At 40.3% G+C, this 23,318-nt stretch overlaps 1 protein-coding gene across 20 annotated transcripts in view; it reads right to left on the reverse strand.

Annotated features, from left to right (window-relative positions):
- The window catches only part of SIK3 (SIK family kinase 3), a 255,027-nt gene that overhangs the window by 72,770 nt on the left and 158,939 nt on the right, over window positions 1-23,318 (reverse strand). For 18 of the 20 annotated variants that reach the window (XM_017017424.2, XM_047426672.1, XM_005271482.5 and 15 more), the window contains one exon: window positions 11,048-11,209. In XM_017017424.2, coding sequence (XP_016872913.1) covers window positions 11,048-11,209 — 162 coding nt within the window. Of the gene's footprint in view, window positions 1-1,861; window positions 5,002-5,048; window positions 6,449-11,047; window positions 11,210-23,318 lie in introns of those variants that run through there. The other 2 variants (XM_047426676.1, XM_047426675.1) reach the window with 2 other exon arrangements.

The following is a 23,318-nucleotide window of genomic DNA, read 5'->3' on the forward strand; positions in this document are numbered from 1 at the left end:
AGATGGTAAATTAAGGATGGTCTGTGTATAACCTCCGCAAAGACGAGCCAAAGACCACTCAAATCAGGATATTTTAAAAAGACTAGATGAAATACCCATGCCTACCACTAGCAAACTGTACTTTTTGATGCTAAGAAAACTGATACAAATATTATACTCACTCTCTTATGATTTTAAGAGAACTGATAAGGTATATTTCAGAACTCATAAATGACAACCAGATTCTGATATAATGGGGACCTTTACTAATATTCTGCCACCTTGCAAAGGCTTGCCTAAAAAGTCAGCCTCACTCTTTTTGACATTGCTTTAATTTTAAATTTCTATAATATCACATCAAATTTTTTTTTTTTTTTTGAGACAGAGTCTTGCTCTGTCGCCCAGGCTGGAGTGCAGTGGCGCAATCTCAGCTCACTGCAAGCTTTGCCTCCCGGGTTCACGCCATTCTCCTGCCTCAGCCTCCTGAGTAGCTGGGACTACAGGTGCCTGCCACCACGCCCGGCTAATTTTTTGTATTTTTAGTAGAGACGGGGTTTCACCGTGTTAGCCAGGATGGTCTCGATCTCCTGACCTCGTGATCCGCCCGCCTCGGCCTCCCAAAGTGCTAGGATTACAGGTGTGAGCCAAAAAAAAAAAAAAATTTTTTTTTTAGGTCAGGCACAGTGTCTCATGCCTATAATCCTAGCACTTTGGGAGGCTGAGGCAGGAAGATCACTTGAGCTCAGGAGTTCAAGACCAAACTAGGCGACAGAGCGAGACCTCATCTCTACAAAAAGTAAAAAATTTTATTGTTTTTTTTAAGAGACAGGGTCTCGCTCTGTCGCCTAGGCTAGAGAGCAATGGTGTAATCATAGCTTACTGCAGCTTCAACCTCTGCGGCTCAAGCGACCCTCCCATCTCAGCCTCTTGAGTAGCTGGGACTACAGGTGCGTGCGACCACACCTGGCTTCCAACACGCTTCACACAACACAATAAAGACTCCCTCAGAATCAGAGTGAAGGAGCACTCTGGGTGATTCGTTAGTCCCTTCCCAACATCAACTTGCATTTGAGGAGCTTACGATCCTCATGAGGACACATGACCTTGGGCAGACTTATATAAACGTTCTTAGAGTTCCTATAAGAACTGTAAGTTTCTATAACTTTTCTATAGTTCTTATAGTTTCTATAGCCACTAATAAAAGTAAAACACTACTCTAAATGGATAGAATATCAATGTTCTTCTAAAACTTCTTAAACTAGAAACTACAGGTAAGAGGCTGGGCACAGTAGCTCATGCTTGTAATCCCAACAGTTAGGTAGGTGGGGTGAGAAGATCTCTTGAGCTCAAAAGTTCAGGACCAGCCTGAGCAGCAAAACGAGTCCCATCTCCACAAAAAATTTAAAAATTCGCCAGGCATGGTGGCAAAACACCTGTAGTCCCAGCTACTTGGGAGGCTGAGGTGGGAGGATCCCCTGAGCCCATGAGTTCAAGGTTACAGTGAGCTATGACTGCACCACTGCACTCCAGTCTGAGCGACAGGAAGGGAGGGAGGGAGGCAAGGAAGGAAAGGAGGAAGGGAAAGAGAGAGAGAGAGAGAGGAAAGAGAGCGAGAGAGAAAGAACGAAAGAAAGAAAAGGAGAGGACAAGAGAGGAAGGAAAGAAGGAAGAAGAAGGAAGGAAAGGAAAGGAAAGGAAAGGAAAGGAAAGGAAAGGAAAGGGAGAAACAAACAAACTATAGCTTAAGTGTACACCTAATTTCCTTAAACCATACGTTGCTTGAGATTTTTCAAAGCTGTCATTTTCTGCAGCTTCAATAAAATGCCGATAAAATTATTTTTCTTTGTTCTAGATATTATACAGATTAAGATGAAACTTTGGCTTTTAATCATCACTGCTCATGTTTTATTTATATTTTGTTTTATTTTAATGGGCAAATTACAATAGTTGTATATATTTACAGGGTACATCGTACATGTTATGATACATGTATACACTGAGGAATGATTAAATCCAGTGAATTAACATATCCAGCACTTCACATACTTATTGATCCACACTTTATTCAATGCTGTGCCCAACACAGTCTCAGAGACAAAGAGCAGTCTGAAATTTCCAGATGCTTTGGTAGGTCAGAAGCGCATGCCATCCACCCTCTTACACTCCGCTCAACTCCCTTTCCCTGTAGAGGGAGGAGGCAAGCTTTTGGGCTCAGGCTTCTCCTACACTTTTTTTTCCACCCCCACCCCCACAAGACCTCAAAGCAAAAGCTTCCATTTCTTTTCTGCCCTTTGCTTCTCTCCCTTTTTCTATTCCCAACCTCTCATTCCCCCTTTTTCTAATTATCCCCAAAATAAGTGACGTGCAATTAATAGATAATGGCATGAAAATCCTTGAGGCTGAGGAAAAGTAATAGAGAAGTCACTCTGCACAAACTAGAAGTGTGAGTAAGAGGAATCTATGGTTGAGCATCAAATTCTTGATTCTCAGCTTCTCAGGCTGGCCTCTGTTTACACAGCCTCAGGTGTTACACTTCAGTGTTCCAAGATATACGAGAAACCGTAGGCTAAATAGGGTGCACCTTCCTGGAACATCAACGTTTTTTCTGTGTTAAACTAAGTTAATAATCTTAATATTAAAAAATATAGATATGACATTAAGTAGAATACAAATTTGTAAAGTTCTAGTCTCAGGAATAGGATTCAAGAGAGATAATATTTCAAATTTTCTTTTCCCAAGGGTCAACGTGCAGGAAGGTTATTTAGAGCCGCTTCTTGGTAATGGTCATATGCCATTTCAGGGCAAGAACACAGGTCTAGCTATTAAAATTCCTAGACTCTATTATGAATTCAGGACAAACACAAAGGCCTCTCTGGTCTCAATTCACTGGACATGTCAACCTGGGAGGTGCAATGAATGATAGCCTAAAAAGAGGGCATTAGAATCATGAAATACAATTTAGATTGATATAATGAGTATTGCATAACTACTTCCTGTGACCAGTCAGAGGCACTGTCAGTCAACACACTGTGGAAGGGTACTCAAAAATCCAAGGTTTCCAACCTTTCTTTTCTATATGATGGTATCTCAGTATATTCATACTAAGGGTGAAAGGTCAATTGAGTTAGGAAATGTTTTAATTTCTCCCTAAAAAATAATAAAATGGTCTAGCTCTCACTGCATTAAGGTCAAAATTTTCCATGGTACCTTAAATCCATGCTCTGAAAATTCTTTCCAGGATATTGGCCTTTCTATAGTTGCATTTCTGATCTTTGCTGTCTACTGATTGCCAACTAAAACAATAACACGAGAGTGGAAACTATCTCATGGAGACCATTCTGGGAGTCGACATTTAAAGACAAAAGTTTCCAACTTCCTTAGGTTTAAAAAAAATGTTTCCACAATTTTCAGAACATTCTTATAACGTCTAAGCATTTGAAAGAACTTTTCTTCAGGGAGTAAGCCAGCTACATTTCAGTTTTTTCTCAGGCAATCTATTTTAAATATAGACACCTTGCTACTTAATCTTTGGGGACAAGGACATTAAAATTACTTTCGAATAGCAATACATTAACCATTTTCAAAACACCATTTTTTTGATAGCTTAATATAATCCATCAGTAAGAAAATTTCATTTCTTTATTTCTAAACATATCTTTCAAAATTCCCTCTTCCTGGTCAAGACATATGATTGGTTATCTGGTCCTAGAAATTCTCGCTTGCTTTCTCTCTTGAATTTGTTGCCGTTTTCTTCCTTTGCATGTTTACTGCCACCATCACCCTCATGCGGGATTTTACCATTCACAGCCTTTAACTGGCCTTCCTATTACCAGGAGGCCCTTCCCTTCCCTCAGCTTCCAGCTTTTTGCCGTCTCCATACTGAATTGGATTAATTAAGCCTTATATCTTATATTCAAATGATTTCAATCTAATATAAACATCTACTGCTCCTGCCTTCTCGGGGAGACTCCTCTCCTTTAGCCTTCCCTTCCACTGAGCTGCTCACCCTTTTTTTTTTTTTTTCAAATAGACCTTGTGCATTCTACTGCTGCCCACGCTGCTCCAACTCAGTGCCCACTGGAACCTAAATGAAATCCCACATCCTAACCACGTGCAACTGGCCTTTGCCATCTCTCTCACCCCAACTTCTTCCAATCCCCATTTTATTCATTATCTCCAGCCATGCTGGACTTTCTTCTACCCCTTTCTTCTATGTTGAATTTATCTCTCTCAGGCCTTTGCATTGTTCTTCTTTCTGCGTGGAATGTTTTGAAGATCCTGGCTAAAAGCAGTACCTCTCGCACAAATCATTCTGCCATGTTACTCGAGTTTATCTTTGTCACAGCCCTATGAGAGCTTATTTGTGTTTACTGTCTATTTATCCCCATTAGAATATAAGTTCCAAGGGGTTATCTTACTGACTGCTGTACCCCCGTGCCTGTATCAGTGTCTGCAACTGACAGGTGCCTTATTAACACTTGCTGGAATTCTCTCCTCTACACCTGATCATCCAATCACATGACACTGGACGCACCTCAAATGCCATGTCCTCAATACAATATTTATGTCCTTTATCAGTACCGCCTGAACTTCAGTTCGACAAAGCTGGGGAGCACCTGCTACAGAACAGGCATGTATGAGCCAGTGGGAGTGTGACAATAAACAGGACATGGTTACAGTCCTTGTGGAACTGACAATCTTGTGGAATCTTACAAACTACAGTACTTCTATCATCCTCTGAACTCCTATGCTAATTAGACTGTACAATTAATGTGATAATGAGTCATGACATGCCTTGTAACATCTCTTCTATTGTATCCAACTATAATTTGGTAGCTGTTAAGGATACTATCATCCAGCGATGCCGGCTCCATGCTGAGTGAGCTGTGTTGTGCCTCGTCAGTCCTTCAACTGCTCTTCTGTGGATCCTTACACATCTCAGGCAAGAAAAGTTAAAAGTCGGAGGCCAAGAATCCTACTCTTTTCCCAGCATTGGGGTTCTCTATACCTTGCCTGGGTGCTCTTTACAAGAAATTCAGAAGTTTTGGAGAGTTAAAAGTGCCAGAAGATGAAGAGATTTTACTTTTTTAATAAGATATATTTGCATGCCAATAAAATTAGGTGATACATGTAAAAATGCTTTGTGAAGTACATTATATATATGCAAAGCATAATTTTGGTGTTACCAACTTTTCAAAGATCTAATGTTTGCTGCCCATATAGCCTCAGTTCTTTAGGGCTGGAGTCACGTTTCACGCTTCTTTTTTCTCTTCTGTGCCATTATGCAAGGAGGCTTCGTTAACAAGTAAGATTCTAGATTACCTCCACAAATTCTTAGTTCTAGACTTGGTAACTGCCTTTAGAAATAAAATTCTTTTTTTTTCTTTTTTCTTCTTAATAAAAAAGAGATGGAATCTCACTATGTTGCCCCAGGTCTCAAAATCCTGGCCTCAAGTGATCTTCCCACTTCGGCTTCACAAAGTGCTGAGATTACGGGCATGAGCCACCTCTCCCTGTCGTAAAATTCTTTATTCTGAAAATGATCAAGGCTTCTTCTGTATTACTAATGACAGAAACATCTCTTTAAAAATTCTACAGAAGACAGGTTTGCTACTGCCATTAAGAACACGGATTTGTTACTAATAATTCTAAAACCAGAAAGAAAACAAAGTTATTCACCTGGGCTTTATTCTCTCTAGAAACAGAACTAGAACAAAAATTCATAAATAAGAATTAAGCACAAAAAAAATCATAAACAGTGGAACAATGGTTCAATCTTTTTTTTTTTTCAGTAGACAAGGTATCACTATGAGGCTAGACTCAAACTCCTAAGTCCAAGTAAGACTCCTGCCTTAGCCTTGATCTCAACTAGCTGGGACTACAGATGCATGCCACCTTGCTCAGCTGAATCTTATAGTATTTATGACTGAAGATATAACTTATACTATAATTATAACTTATAATATCTATAACTAATATCTATCTATCCAGGGAACACTTATTCTCTCGAAGAGAACTAGTATGGACAGTTGTGATAGCTAGCTTTTTACAGTATCAAATATCAAATGTAGGCCAGGCACGGTGGCTCATGCCCATAATTCTAACACTTTGGGAGGTTAAGGAGGGAGGACTGGTTGAGGCCAAGAGTTTGAGACCAGGCTGAGGAACATAGTGACAAAAAATGTTTAAAATTAGCGAGGTGTGGTGGAACATGCCTGTAGTCCCAGCTACTTGGGAGGCTGAGGCAGGAGGATCACTTGAGCCCAGGAGGCTGAGGTTGCAGTGAGCCATGATTATGCCACTGCAGCCTGGTCAACAGAAGGTAACCCAGTTTCTTAAAAAAGAAGGGGGAAGGGGCGGGCATGGTGGCTCACACCTATAATCCCAGCACTTTATGAGGCCAAGGCAGGAGAATCGCTTGAGGCCAGGAGTTTGAGACCAGCCTAGGCAACATAGTGAGATTCTGTCTCTACAAAACAAACAAACAGTATCAAATGTAAATCACCACATTAATACAAAATGTAAAAATAAATTAATGTAAACACAAATATCCACAGACCAATTTATTCATCTTCTACACGAAACTGGATGCATGATTATTTTCATTAAAATCACTTAAACAATGGCATACAGAAAACATGAATCTTTTATACTTCCTAATCTGAGTTTTATTAGTTCCAAGTTATTTTGGTACTATAACATATACGATTATTTTAAAGATGAGCTGCTTACGACTAATTTCTCCTTTTCTTTTCTCTTTTTTTTTTTTTTTTTTTTTTTTTTTGAGATGGAGTCTCGCTCTCTCACCCAGGTTGGAGTGCAATGGCGTGATCTCAGCTCACTGCAACCTCTGCCTCCTGGGTTCAAGTGATTCTTCTGCCTCAGCCTCGTGAGTAGCTGGGATTACAGGCACCCGCCATCATGCCCAGCTAATTTGTGAACTTTTGTAGAGACCGGTTTTCACCACGTTGGCCAGGCTGGTCTCAAACTCCTGACCTCAGGTGATCCACCCACCTTGGCCTCCCAAAGTGCTGGGATTACAGGCATGAGCCACTGCGCCCAGCCAAGACTAACTTCTTAAAATAAAACCAAAAAACCCTTTTTCTCTCTTGCATGTTTCTTTCATATATAGTAGTTTCTTCTTACTGACATTTAAGATACTTTACCAAAAGGGAGGCCATTGAAAAGATCAGGAATCTGAAAGTTACTTTTGGCTTTTAGAATTAAAGTTGATTTCGTTACCTATCTGACCTTATCCTGTCAAAAACATCCAACCTACCTCTCCAAAATTAGTCATGTTCTAGTTGGCTTCAACTAGAAGCATTTCTCCCACTAGTCCATTAAGTTCAAAAAAGAACTGGGAGGTGAGAATGATAATTCTATTTAATTTATGTGCAAGAAAGGAGGTTCAGGCAATGACTGAGAAACTGAGTAACGATGGCATATAAGAGAAAGACTGCATGAGCAAAGCTAATGTTAGGTATTGTAGCAGGCCGCAAAACTAGAGGTGCTCATTTATTTTTCTGTTTTGCTCTTAAAACAAATAATAAAAATGTACGCTTTGGGTTAATGAACTTAAAAATCTTGCCAAAGTATATGTGTTAACACAGAGAGAGCCCAAGGCTGGCTGCCAGCACCCCGGAGTCTGTAATTATATATCAGCAGGTAGACACTCTCATTGTGACTCCTTGAATTTGTTTTAACTATTAACAACAACAACAACAGAAAAGTCTTTAAAAATCTCCTTACCAAATATTTCAGTAGAGTTTCCAACTTCAATTATCAATAATCTCTGTTTTTACTCTGAGTTTCTCAATGTAAAAACTAAAGGATATAAAATTTCCTTAACAGCCGGGCGTGGTGGCTCACGCCTATAATCCCAGCACTTTGGGAGGCTGAGGCGGGTGGATCAGGATCTTGAACTCCTGAGGTCAGGAGTTCAAGACTAGCCTGGCCAGCATAGTAAAACTCGTCTCTGCTAAAAATACAAAAAATTAGCAGAACGTGGTGGCGCATGCCTGTAATCCCAGCTACACGGGAGGCTGAGGTAGGAGAATCGCTTGAACCTGGGGGAGGCAGAGGTTGCAGTGAGCGGAGATCATGCCACTGCACTCCAGCCTGGGCAACAGTGTGAGACTCCATCTCAAAAAAAAAAAAAGAAAAAAAAGAAATTTCTTTAACTAAATCAAAATCATCCTAAATTCAAAATCAAGAACCAAGGGAGCATTAAGAAAATTTTTAATCTTGGGTCAGCGGACGGAAAATAAAACTAGAGAATATAAAGAAGGCCTTCTTTTTGTTTTGTTTTGTTTTCTACTGAAACTTACTATTTGTCATTAAGAATTGCAAACTATACTACTAAGAATGAACAACATTCTCTTCATTAAGCCTTTTTCAAAACACACAAGACAAAGCTCCCCTTTGGTCAAGGTGTTCCACACACTCCCACTGCAGCAGGCCCCACAGCTCGCAGCACAGTGGTGCACCATGGACTCGGGCACAGAGCCCAAGGAATGGAGATGACCCCAGTCTTCCCTCCTTCCCCACCCCAACTACACCCAAGGAGAAAGGATATGAGGAAATAAACTATGTCTTCAATGCTTGGTGGGGGCTGGGGGTGTCCTCTGCTATCCAGGTGGGCTGGTCAGTGCAGAGTGGGTGGTGCGTGTCCAGAGGGCCTTCTTTTAATTCACTACCCTAATCTATAATCCAAAGAGCCTTACAGTGACATCTGTGGCATGTTGAATAATGGCCCCCAAATACATCTATATCCCAATCCCCCATACTTGTGAATGTGTTACCATACATGGTAAAAAGGACTTGTATTAACATGATTAAAGATCTTAAAATGGGGAGATGAGGACAGACACGGTGGCTCCCAGCACTTTGGGAGGCCAAGGTGGGTGGATCGCTGGAGACCAGGAGTTCGAGACCAGCACGGCCAACATGGTAAAACCCCATCTCTACTAAAAATACAAAAGTTAGCTGGGCATAGAAGCGCGCACCTGTAGTTCCAGATACTCAGGAAGTTGAGGTTGCAGTGAGCTGAGATCACGCCACTGCCCTCCTGCCTGGGCAACAGAATGAGGCCCTGTCTCGAAAACAAAAACAAAAAAAGGTGGGGGTGGGAGAGAGATGATCCTGGATTATCTGAGACAGCCCAATGTAATGACAAAGGTCCTTGCAAGAGGGAAGCAGGAGGGTCGGAATTAGGAGTAGGAGATGTGACAATGGAAGCCACAGGTTGGAGTGAAGGAAGGAAGGGGCTGAGCTAAAGAATGCAGGTGACCTTTAGAAGCTAAAAAAGGCAAGGACACATTTTTCCTTCAGAGCCTCCAGGAGGAACAGCCCTTGCTGCTGTTTTAACTTTCACCCTGTGAGACCCAGCTTGGACTTCTGACCTCCAGAACTACAGGCTAACAAATCTGTGTTTTTCCAAGTCATTAAGTTTGTGGTAATTTGTTATAGTAATAATAAGACACTAATCAATCTTTTATTACAGTTTTAAGGGTTGTGAAGTTTAGTAGGTATTATTAGTATTAATTTAATTGAAGCTACAACAAATAATTACAAAAGAAGGTTTGAAATTGCCAGGCTTTTCCATGCCACACACCTTTGTGGGAACTACCAGTATCTATAGAGCTTTGGAGAAAATAAAACCGACATGAGAGCAAAGGAAAAACATGATTTTATATAAGATAAAGAAAGCCTTTAATTCCTGTGTACTCTGTAATAAGCTAGTGCAGGAGTGAAAGAACTTATAAATGATATGAAAGTTCTAAACAAAAGTGTAGCTGTCAGTTTCAGATATATAAAAAGCTAGGTGATGCTCCAGGATGTAAAAGTGAACAGGCTTATCTACACAAAAGCAACTCTCAGAAGAATTGTGACCCTGCAAAGGTACCCTTAGGTAACTTTGACCTATGATAAAAATCCAAACTCTCAAATCCCACCTCTACTAAGGAAGAAAATCCTTAGAACTGCTTTATACCTTGCCTTTTCTAGACAATTACATTCTAGCTATATTTTAGTTTTCTATATGAGATGTCCTTCCTTTTATCTGGGAGACCGGGGATACACGATGCTATACCGGAAAGTGTCGGCAAACATAAATGGCTTATTTTCATATTTACAGTTTCTCTATAGATTGCAGTCACTTAATTTTATTAGTAAATGGTGAGTCTGTATTCATTAGGCAAAATGCTGATAGTTTACTAAAATTAAGCATGAACAGATCAAGGCAGTGAAAAGTGCTCTCAAGGCACTGTCAGATAAGCAGACTAGTAAAATTTGAGAAGACAAAAAGCTGGACTGCCTATAAGCCACTCTAAGATCTATTTTTCCTAAATTATCATACAATTACAGCCTTTAGAATAAGTATGCTCTGTGTCAGCAGTGACATAAATCAACCTTCTCAAGTGAAGGTGAGAGGGTATACAATTTTAGTAGTTTTCCTTTCCACTTTATTACATATTTTATTTCTTATGTAAAAAAGGACCCGTTAACCAAAGTAATAGTATTTTAAATATCACCTTTCCCTTCTTTCTCCCCAGCCTAGTTCCAGCTGATACTACATTAAAAATAAACAGGCCGGGTGTGGTGGCTCACGCCTGTAATCCCAGCACTTTGGGAGACCAAGGCAGGCAGATCACTTGAGGTCAGGAGTTCAAGACCAGCCTGCCCAACATGGCAAAACCCCAACTCTACTAAAAGTATAAAAATTAGCCAGGCGTGGTGATGCGCACCTGTAATCCTAGCTACTTGGGAGGCTGAGGCAGGAGAATCGCTTGAACCTGGGAGATGGAGGCTGCAGTGAGTCAAGACTGCACCACTGCACTCCAGCCTGGGCGACAATGAGACTCAGTCTCGAAAAAAAAAAAAAAAGGGCAGGGGAGGGGAAGTACTTTTAAAGTTTATCAATTTTCAGGCTATTTTTTTTTTCATCTTAAATTGTCCTTACTTTCACAATAGTTCTTTCTGAAGAGATGGAAACAGATAATCCCTTGCTTATAGAACCCCAAGGAAAAGCTCCTTTGTCCCTATCTGACATCCTCAGTACAGTTCTCACCTGCTATTTTGATATTCAGATTGGCATCCAGAAGTAAATTTTCAGCTTTTAAATCACGATGAACAATGTTCCGACAGTGACAAAAATAGACAGCTGTGACGATCTGTTTGAACTTCCGACGTGCCTCCTTTTCTGCCATTCTACCATGGGCCACCAGGTGGTCTGTGTTGAAGAAGAATACAGTCAGTTTTCATTTTGGACACTTGTGTAATTTCAAAAGGTAGACTTAAGGAGGGCTACAAGGGGCCCTCTCGAGTGAGTTAAAGAGGCAAAATGAGCAATGAGAGAACAACACATTGATAGTCCTGGTTTGCATCTATCAAAATTCATTAGTAATAAGTATCCAAACTATTTTAAGTATAAATCCTGTTATACAAAAGTATGCATAAGAACACACTTGTACTTTCATTAGGAAAAGAGAGTTCTGGTGTTTTTCAAGGGTCATAGAACTCACTACCTTTCTTTTCATATCCTCACTGCAGAAGACTGCACAGACATGAGCAAACACACACATGAAGATAAGTATCAGAAATATTTCCTGTGTTAAAGAGGAGGTAAAAAAGCAAGGCCCCAATATTAAATCATTTAAGGAAAGGGTGGACAGAAATTCGTCACTGCTAGGGGGAGAAAACTCCTCGACAGAGCACTCTGTTTAGGTTACTATCTTTCTGCTTTCTCAAAGTTCTTCGATTTGACATAAAAACACACTTACTCGGTAACTGTTCTCTGGAGTGCATAGCGATATACCTACATCTTTATATCTGCATTTATGGGGCTCACCAAATGGTTCTTACAAAATGATAATTTTTACAGATAACATCAATCAAAAACCAAGTGAAGTTTCTACCAACTCAAATAAAATCATTTCATTGGCCATGTTGTTAACTAAGGTATATCAAAAGAATTTACATGTGATAAAATCATAATACTATAAAGCAGGCTATCCTCAATATTCAAAAATGATTTGATGGATTAGCAGGTTCTTTAAGAACTTTCTAATAATAGCAGTAGGTTTATACCAAACCAACAACATACATATCTTTGACTCAGTTCTTTATCAAACCAACAACACATATAGGTCATGACAGCTAGTGGGATTAGAAATGTCAGCTATGATACAGTTGTTCTGTTAGAAATGTCTAATAGTCTCATGAGCACTGTCCTTTAATCAACTGATCTAGCTGGGAAAAGGACATATTTGCCATCCTAAGCATCCTGAGACAGTAGGAAAGTGAAAAATGAGGGAATATAGATAAATATATTGTGATTTATCAACAGTTTTGGTAGAATACACAATTGTTTTGGTGACATCTCACTCCCTCACAGGACCAGTCAGGTGTATCTTTCCTTCACCACAAAGAGGAAGTTCAGGGTAGCACATATTTACTAGCAATAACTGCCAAGACTGAGCGCTTGTGGCAAGAAATGGTAGGGGAGAAGGTTGAAGAAGGGGAGTTAGATGCCAGCCCATCTACAGAGCAGATTGCAAAATAATTCAAACTGCATTCTGACCACAAGAAATATAACATTCTGGAATGCAAATACTGTAGTCACTTTAAGAACATATCTTATATGTAGATAATATAAATCATTAAGAAAGATCCTCAAAGGAATTATTGTAATTTTTGTTCGCCACACACAAGGCTTTTGAAGCATCTCCCTCAAAAATACAAGTCATTGTTATAGCCAAGATTATCGATTTAATAGAAGAAAAAGGAGAAAATAAGAAGTCTTCCACTTAGCAGTTAAAAGGACTAGAATCAAGCTTTCCCTGGGAGGTCAGAGGTGGGGATAAGTAAGCTCCCACTCGGGTGTGTTTAGGCTTCCGGTGAGGTCTGCTATGAACTTTAAACAACACGAAGTCCAAACTAGGGAGAGTAACTTAACAGAAGCTGTGAAAGAACTGGCCATCCATCAGAGGTAGAATGCTATGTTTTAAGAGGCCATTTTCTAACAGTACCTGCTCCTCTGACCCCCTATTTCTCTTAACCCAAGGCCTAATTATTCTAATAATATGTTTTAGTTGCTAAACCTTGTCTAATTAAAGAGCTTTGAAGAGACAGCTATTCTTGAGAAACATAAAAATAAACCCTTATGAAGGTTTACCATCAGAAGCTCATTTGGCCAAGCTACCCATTAATTAAAATGCCCAAGAGACATTTGTCTGGCAGTAAATACTAATTACCAGAACACATCAAAGTGCTTCTTAAATGCTGCAGAATGATTAATTTCACAATTTCCAAAATAAGTGATTTCTTTTATTAAGAAAGTCTTTATAAATTTCTAAGTACCTTGTTTTCCTAAAGTGATTGGAAAGTTCTCAAAACTGTTATACGGGCCAGAAGCTGCTGGAATGCAGCCTAGTTCTGTTTTATCTCTACAGTGACACATCAGTTGTCCCTGGACAAATCATTTATCCTGCCAATACCCCCACCTCTTGATCTTCTAAATACAAGTAAACTCTGTTGCATGCTATACCCAAAGAAAGAACAGAATATTTGGGAATAAACGTGTACTCTGATTAAGAGTATCATACGTTAAAACTTTCACTTTCAAAGATGTTGCAAAAGACATTTTTGAAAAGGTCCACTGAATACTATATAGGGAATACTTAAACATCTAGTCAATAGAGCACAAAGTCCTTCAGGATTCTGCAGAGCTTAAAGGTGATTTTCTACACATCGATTGTCACTGTTAATGGTTCTGGTTAAAAGGTAGCTGTAACAGCGCACTGGGTAGTACAGCTTAAACTATAATACTTTCCCCAAAGTTACCTTCAGTACCCCTATAGTTATAGATACAAAGAAGATAAACAAATCACTTTTTTTTTTCCCCTGGACTCTAAATACACTTACGGAACAAATCACTTTTTTTTTTTAAAGTGTTCACATTAGATATTTGCTCCTAGCCATTGTGTTTAGGGTTCAAGTTTTCTTCTCTTTGGGAGCACTGTGCTCTTCACATGCAAGCTCCTTCCAGTGGCTCAATCGCATTCAGACCTCAGCCTCTGCCCTGATTTTTGCCCATCTTATCCCCCCAACCCCTACTCCCATTGGTTTGCTTTCACTGTAAACCTACGAGGTCTAGTGGGTGTGCCAGGAAGCCAGCAGCCTGCAGTGGTTTTCACTCCCTGCTGAAAATCGCCTTTCAGCTGCCTGCTGACAAATAGCTGCTTTATATTCGTATATGCTCTAGAGGCAGGCAGCAAACATTCTTCAAGTTCAAATGTGATATTTAACTTTCAGTGAAGAAATCCAGAGCTGTAGACCAGCCTGGACTTAACACATAGTCACAGCATTTTTACAAATACTGCAGTACTTTCAGAAGGCAAATGAAACCAAATGGCTCCTGAATCCACTCAATACGCAAAGTAAAATGTACGTTGAACCTTGTCAGGATAAACTCCAATTGCAAGGAACTCCAGAGTTGTTCTGCTTCTTCCAGGCAATTCAGTGAACTACCTCTCCTAAATACTGAGACACAAATACTACCCATATCCTCATCCCAATCATCCACACTGCAGCCATGCCCCTAGCTAGAGTCCTGCCCCCTCCCCACCCCCACCAATCTAAACAAACCTCAAGTAGACACCTGCTGCATAAAGTCAAGTCCATCACACTAAGCTTTTTTCACCATCAATCAACTACTTATCTATTTAGTTGCCATTATAGGTCTGGGACAAATTTAAAGTTTTCTTTGACCACAATTTCACTCCAAACATGTACCCAGACAGGGATGAGGTGACTCTCGGTTAAAAGGAAAAAAAATGGTTCTCCTGTTTCAAGTGCTTTTCAAAAGTAAAAAGTAAAACAAAGTAAAAAAAAGTAAAAAGTACTTTTAAATTCTCTTTCTCACTTTCCCATGACCATGACTTGGCATTGGTCTTCTTTAATCTTTTTGGTCTGCCCTTCCTTGCAAAATGAAAAGAAGTAAGTGACACTAAGAGATTTACATACCCGACGAAGAGTAATATTGTTAGAAGTACAGGAAATCGATTTTGAATTTTCTAAAGTATTAGAGCACCAGCACGTAAGTTTGCTTCAGAATTCACTGTTTGTAATTTTGTCCCAATCTTACTCAGGAAGAAAATATCTTGTGGTACATTTAGGTTCTGACCTTTCAAAGAGCAAAAATACACAGAAGCCAGTCTTACCTTCCCTAGGCCAGCTTCAATGGAGTGTCAGAGGTATGCCACTAATGGGATAGTGGTGCGGAGCCAACATTTCTTAAAATAAGTCACTTTTCCACTCTAAACAGACAGTGTCTCCATTTGTCTGCTAAGTCTACAACTCATAGTTGATGCAAAACACTAGCTGAAAATGAACATACCCTGACAGCAGGACAAGCAATAGGCAGAAATACCACATTTCAGTGAAGAATGAACCCAGCCTAGAAAAGGGAAAAGGCAGTATGTGTGCTCATCTTCATCTTAGGTGACTACCTGAAAAAACTTCTGCCAATTCCAAACTAACCACAGCTAGTAGTTCTTTGCTTTGCCACTCAGTTCTATCATTTCTTCTTCCTACACCCATGGAAACGACTTCCTGTTTATCAAACAAACGCTTCTTTCCAAAAAAGCAGGGCGAGGCCAAGATAACTCAGCTCCCCCTAAGCAGGTTAATAAGAGTGCAGTCACTTTAATATCCTATTGTCCTCTAACTCCCAGGCGTGGCTGCCACTGACTAGAGGAAGAGGGTTTGTCATTTTGTCTTTCTTGCCAAGAATCCAACTACCTCTTACCGGGCTTCTTGACTTGTTGCTGCTTCTTGTTACTATCTCTTTTCTTTGCTCCTCCATTGACCAGGCCAAAAACTTTTATGGCATCTTTCATTCTTCTCTTTCTCTCACACCCTGCATCCTATCCATCAGCAAATTCTATTAACTCTACGTTCAAATCATATTCAGAATCCAACTATTTCTCACCCCTGCCTTCACTCCACTCTAGTGCCACCAGCCTCATTTAACAGCAACTACCTCACTCCTAGATTTCTGCAATAACCTCCTAGGATTACTCCTCAAAAGAGCAGCCAAGGTAGTAATCTTTTTTTAAAAACTTTTTATTTTGAGATAATTATAGATTCACAGGAAGTTGCAAAGACAGTGCAGAGAGGTCCCGTGTACCCTTCGCCCAGTTTCCGCCAATGGTTAAATCTTATATAATTATAGAACGATATCAAAACCCAGAATTTGACATGGGTACAATGCGTATGTATAGTTCTATGTCACTTTATCACATGTGTAGATTTGTGGAACAACAACTGCAATTACTACAATAGCAATTACAACTATTCGGACTCAGTCATTACTGAGTACTCTCACATATATGCCTGCATGTGTAAACGGATCTTGCCTTTCCCCTGTTCAATTTTTTGTATCAAAAAAAGATACAAAAATATTTCACCACCACAAAGATCTCCGTTGCACTACCCCTACACAGTCATGCTTGTTCCTCTATGCCCCACCATCCCTAACTCCTAGAAACCACTAATCTGTTTCCCATTTATGTAATTTCATCATTTTAAGAACACTATATAAACAGAATCATACAGTCGGCGACCTTTTGAGATTGGCTTTTTTATTTTCTTGTTTTTGTTTGTTTGTTTTTTGAGAAAGAGTCATTCAAGCTGGACTGCAGTGGCAAGATCACGGCTCACTGCAGCCTTGACCTCCTCCCACCTCAGCCTCCCAAGCAGCTAGGACTACAAGCATCTGCCACCATGCCTAGCTAATTATTTAGAGGTAGGGTTTCACCAAGTTGACCAAGCTGGTCTCAAACTCATGGGCTCAAGTGATATTCCTGCCTAGGCCTTCCAAAGTGTTGGGATTACAGGCATAAACCACCATGACTGGCCTGATATTTTTAGTCACCATAATGTCCTTAAGATCCATCCAAGTTGATGTGTCTATTAACCTTGCTCCTTTTTTTTTTTTTTTTCTTTTTTGAGGCAGAGTCTCACTGTCACCCAGGATGGAGTGCAGTGGTGCAATCTTGGCTCACTGCAACCTCCACCTCCTGGGTTCAAGTGATTCTCCTGCCTCAGCCTCCCAAGTAGCTGGGACTACAGGCGTGCGCCACCACACCCGGCTAATTTTTGCATTTTTAGTAGAGACAGGGTTTCACCATATTGGCCAGGCTGGTCTCAAACTCCTGACCTCGTGCTCCACCCGCCTCAGCCCCCCAAAGTGCTGGGATTACAGGCGTGAGCCACTGCACCTGGCCCCATTTGCTCCTTTTTACTGCTGAGTAGTACAGCATGGAATAGATGTACAAGAGTTTCCTTATCCATTCACCTACTGAAGGACATTTTGGTTGTTTCCAGTTCTTAGCTATTACAAAGAAAGCTGCTATCAACAATTAAACAATTGTGTATAGAATTTTATATGAATATAAGTTTGCATTTTCTCTTTTCTTCCTTCCTCTCTCTCTCTCTCTCTCTCAAGAGACAAGGTCTTGCTGTGTTGCCCATGTTGGAGTGCAGTGGCCCAATCATGGCTCATTGTAGCCTCAAACTCCTACACTCAAACAATTAAGTCTGCATTTCTATGTAGCAGGGTAATTCTCTTAAATCTTAAATAAGATCACATCATTTTTTTCTGTCAAAACCTCCGGATGGGTTCCCAGCTCATGACCTTTGACCTTACCTTCTTTCACTGGCTCTTTTGTTCTACTATAATCACATATGCCACCTTGCTATTTCTCAAACACAGCAGAAATACTCCTGCCACAGGGCCTTTGTTCTTTCTATTCTTTCTACTTGGAATGCTCCTCCCCAAATAGCTGCATGATCTTTTACAAAAGTATAACCTTCTCAGAGAGGTCTTTCCTATCTCTATTGTCAGCTTACCTCCTGATATTTCAATTTCATATTCACTTCCCCTACGCACTTTATCATTTTCTAACAAATGACACATTCTACCCTACTTAGTTGGTGTACTATCTGTCTTCTCCACTAGAAAACAAGCTCCATGAGGGCAGGCATTCTTGCCATTTTGTTCAATACTGTGTCTAGTACAATGAACGGTATCTGACGCATATTAAGCACTTAATAAGTATTTATTAAAAGAACAAAAGATGATTGAATACATTCCTATCCCTGTTTATTAAAACTATTTCCTGAACCTTAGATTTTATTAGCAAAATGAATGCTAAATGCTATTGCTCACCTCAATGAATTCAAGAGTCTTCCCAACTAATCTAAAAAGGCACACTAACATATATGACCTGTCTTCATATATCCAAGTCTGTACTTGGCATACAAGCAAAAAGTATACTAAATTTTCTTCTGTCTCTTCCAAATAAACTAAACTTTTTCCCTGAGAGTTTTGAGACAACACAATTTCTTCGTGAAACACATTATCACAGGATATGCTTTAGTTTTGAAAATGTGGAACTAGAACTATTTTTTTCTATGCCTCCTTATTACACATAAAATAGTACTCTGCCTATGATGGATACTTAATAATTATAGATTAGGCCAGGCATGGTGGTTCACACCTATAATCCCCGCACTTAAAGACCAGCCTGAACAGCAAAGCAAGACCCCATTGCTACAAAAAATTTAAAAATCAGCCAGGCATAGGCCGGGCGCGGTGGCTCACCTCTATAATCCCAGCACTTTGGGAGGCAGAGGTAGGTGGATTACCTGAGGTCAGGAGTTCAAGACCAGCCTGGCCAACATGGTGAAACCTCATTTCTACTCAAAATACAAAAAAAAAATTAGCCGGGTGTGGTGGCGCATGCCTATAGTCCCAGCTATTCGGGAGGCTGAGGCAGGAGAATCGCTTGAACCTGGAAAGCAGAGTTTGCAGTAAGCCGAGATCGTGCCACTGCACTCCAGCCTGGGCGACAGAGTGAGACCCAGTCTCAGAAAACAAACAAACAAAATCAGCCAGGCATGGTGGTATGCACCTGGTAATCTGTTGAGAGGCTGAGGCAGGAGGATCACTTGAACCCAGGAGTTCGAGGCTGCAGTGAGCTATGAGCATGCCACTGCACTCCAGCCTGGGCAACAGGGCAAGACCCTATCTTTAAACTATTATTAATAATGATAAATTATTATTAATTATATTGATTATTAATACTTATTAATTTATTATTATAAATTAACTCAAGGAATACCAATGAGAGAAGAGACTATAAGCTTTTACAAAAACACTTTTTTTACTCTTCATTTTGCTATTAAACAAGGTTTGTAAACTACACACTTTTTAAGTTGTCTTCATAAAAAACATGCCATCCTTTTCATATCAAGTCCATTCACAGTAATGTATAAGGAAGGATTTGTTTTCTTATGGCTTCTTAAAAAGTATTTCTAGACTAAGCATAAACCCAGGTAGGCTTTGAAATAGAATCTCATATATTACAAAAGGCCTTTCAAAAATGTTATTCAAGTTTTCTCATATAGTACCAATGTTTCTCATGCTACACCAAGGTATTAGCAATACTTGGTTTGCTAATCCTGTAACAGAGGTTCTAATCAGATCCTAGTATAACCTGCATGCTCCAAGTCAACAGAGGTACCTTTCGATTTGTTAAAATATTGACTATCAAAATGTTGCAATCCTAGCTCTAACTAGTCTTCCAAAGGGAACAGCTCAAGTACATGTCTCCAGGGAATTTTATGTAGCATGAGATGGTAACTAATGCCAATACATAAGGCTAATGGCTTCCAAATTCACTGTTTCTAGTCATCTAACCTCCTGAGCTCCAAACTCCTGTTTTCAAATGTCTACTGAAAAACTTCATCTAGGTATCATAAATATATCTAAATTTAGGCCAGGTGTGGTGGCTCACACCTGTGATCCCAGCACACTGGGAGGCCAAGAAGGGAGGATCACTTGAGTCCAGGAGTTCAAGATCAGCCTGGGCAACATAGTGAGATCCCATCTTTATTTTTATAATTTAAAAAAATTTGAAAGATATCTAAATTTAACATGGACCAAACTGAACTAGCGTTCTCTTTGTTTGTTTGCATTTTTGAGACAGAGACTCACTTTGTCATCCAGGCTGAAGCGGGGTGGTGTGATCTCGGCTCATCACAACCTCTGCCTCCCAGGTTCAAGTGATTCTCCTATCTCAGCCTCCCAAGTCACTGGGACAACAGGTGCCACCATGCCCAGCTAATTTTTGTATTTTTAATAGAGACGGAGTTTCACCATGTTGGTCAGGCTGGTCTCAAACTCTTTACCTCAAGTAATGCACCTACCTCAGCCTCCCAAAGTTCTGGGATTACAGGCGTGAGCCACAGCACCTGGCCTGAACTAACGTTCTCTTTATCTTCCTGCTGTAACCTAGTTCTCCTCCTGAATCCCTATTACCATCATCTAGATGTCCATGAAAGAAACTTTGGAATCATCTTCAACTCCTCTTTCTTCCTCACTCTTAACATCCAATTACTTACAAAATACGCTAAATTTTCGACTTACATTTAAAGAGTATGCCTCCTCTTCTCTATCCTTCAGGTTTCCCTTTCTGCCCATCATCCTTTACATTGTTACCAGTTATTCTAACACATTTCTTTGGTCGTGTCATTCATTTAACTTAGAACTTTTCAACAAAATCTCACAGCCTACAATATATAGTTCTAATTCATAAACATAGTTCACCTGCATGTGTACTTGCTGTTTCACCAACATGCTGTACACTTTGCTCAGGGTTTTACTTCTTGCTGGAATGCCTGTCTCCTATTCTCATCCCCATCCCCAGCTGAACTTTGGAATTCAAGGTTATCCTTTAAAGTCCAGCTTAAAGGTCATTTCTCTGAAGCTAACCCTAACCTACTCACCCGCCCTAGAAAAACTGCTCCATAATTTGTGTCTAATGACATTTAATCTATCTGCCTCTATGACATCAGCAAACAATTATATTACAGTAATTTCTTATCTTGTGTGTCTTCCCTCCTAGCCCATGGATTTTTGGTCCATGGATGGGTTTATATCCATGAAGCACTGCAAGACGTAGAAAAATATGTAGAGTGTGTTTCTGTTTGTGTAGGAAGGAAGGGAAAATACAAATATGCATGTGTATGTATATGCATATATTTATTTAGATTTGCCAAAAGGAATAATGTTAAATAAATGGTTACTTACGGAAAAGGTGTGGAAGCCAGACATATGAATGCACCTTGTTTTGTAGCTTTAACTTTGGAAACAAGTAATGTCTTACATAACTGAAACAATTCAGAATTGAATCAAATAGAAGAACATTTCTAAAAATTGAAAGCAACCTGTAAAAAATCAGTAGATTACGGTACATAATACCTAACTATACATAAAGTTAAAAGTATTCTGCTAGAGCAGCCCAAATAGACTAAGACAATTCTTCATGGGATATATCCTAAGAACAAAAAGAACCACAAGTCTCCTTATTATTTGTAATACTACTGGTATTGTTTTCAATCAATCAGTCTCTCCCCTCACTCATATCAAAAAAGTGACTATGTTAACGTCATCTGGAACCACAATTTTCAACATAAGGGAAAAGAGAACTAAAGATATAATATTTAAGAAGTAAAAATGCTGAAATCTTACATTTTAATTGGAGTGTTAGTATAAACTTGTTTCATTTTCCTCTCCATTAAAAATATATATTTCATAGCTCTGTCCCCTCCTCTAAGCAATAATAACCCAGTAGCACTAACGAGCATCCCTGAGGCCCAAATTCTGGTCTTTAAATGCTATTTTCCATTTAAAGAAACCAGAGTTGGCTGGGCACGGTGGCTCACGCCTGTAATCCCAGTGCTCTGGGAGGCTGAGACAAGTGGATCACTTGAGGCCAGGAGTTCAAGACCAGCTTGGCCAACATGGTGAAACCCCGTCTCAACTAAAAATACAAAAATTAGCTGGGCATGGTGGCGTGTGCCTGTAGTCCCAGCTACTCGGGAGGCTGAGGCAGGAGAATCACTTGAACCTGGGAGGCGGAGGCTGCAGTGAGCTGAGTTCACACCACTGCACTCCCGCCTGGGCAACAGAGTGAGACTCTATCTAGAGGGGAGGGGAGGGGAGGGGAGGGGAGGGGAGGGGAAGGGAGAAGAGGGGAGAAGAGAGGAGAGGAGAGGAGAGGAGAGGAGAGGAGAGGAGAGGAGAAGAGAAGGAGAGAAAAAGAAAAGGAAAAGGAAAAGAAGGGGACGGGAGGGGAGGGGAGGGGAGGGGAGGGGAGGGGAGGAGAGGAGAGGAGAGGAGAAGGAGAGAAAAAGAAAAGGAAAATGAAAAGAAGGGGACGGGACGGGAGGGGAGGGGAGGGGAGGAGAGGAGAGGAGAGGAGAGGAGAAGAGAAGGAGAGAAAAAGAAAAGGAAAATGAAAAGAAGGGGACGGGACGGAAGGGGAGGGGAGGGGAGGGGAGGGGAGGGGAGGGGAGGGGAGGGGAGGAGAGGAGAGGGGAGGAGAGGAGAGGAGAGGGGAGGGGAGGAGAGGAGAGGAGAGGAGAGGAGAGGAGAGGAGAGGAGACCAAACCAGAATTCCTAGGAGAAATGTTTGATTCCATGTCTGGTACAGGAAATGTTCAAGATAAGCATAGGACATCTTGCCTAAAAGCAACAAAAATATCAAAGACTATTGAGCTCACATCAAAAGGACACAGGAGTCAGCCTGAAGAGGCTCCAGGCTCCCACTGGCTAAGTGGAATAATTTCAGTTTCAAAAGAAGAATGACTTAATGGACTGAAGCACATAAAATATACTAAAATCCATAATTGCATAATTATGTTACAAAATAGAAAACCAACTTCCTTAGTCTCCACTGGAGATTGCAGAGAACCAATTCATTATTCTAAAAACTGATACATAAGGAAAAGAAAGAATCAAGCATTTATCTTGTCATTACTATAATTTCTAAGTAGTTTATAAGGCAAAGTTCTTTACAGAAGAAGAATAACTCATAAATGTTGAATGAATGAGAGAATTCAAATAATCACCATTTTGCAACTTCTTTTTTGTTTTGTTTTGTTTTTAAGACAAGTCTCACTCTGTCACCCAGGCTGTAGTGCAATGGCGCGGACTCAGCTCACTGCAACCTCCGCCTCCTGGGTTCAAGCAATTCTCCTGCCTCAGCCTCCCAAGTAGCTGGGACTACAGGTGTGCATCACCATGGCTGGTTAATTTTTGTATTTTCAATAAAGACAAGGTTTCACCATGTTGGTCAGGCTGGTCTGAAAATCCTGACCTCGTGATCCACCTGCCTCGGCCTCCCAAAGTGCTGGGATTACAGGTGTGAGCCACCAAGCCCGGCCTTGCAACTTCTAATGAAATAGCTAGGCAACTAAATGACAGGAGT

This window comes from Homo sapiens, chromosome 11, assembly GCF_000001405.40.
Source record: "Homo sapiens chromosome 11, GRCh38.p14 Primary Assembly".
Taxonomy (NCBI): domain Eukaryota; kingdom Metazoa; phylum Chordata; class Mammalia; order Primates; family Hominidae; genus Homo; species Homo sapiens.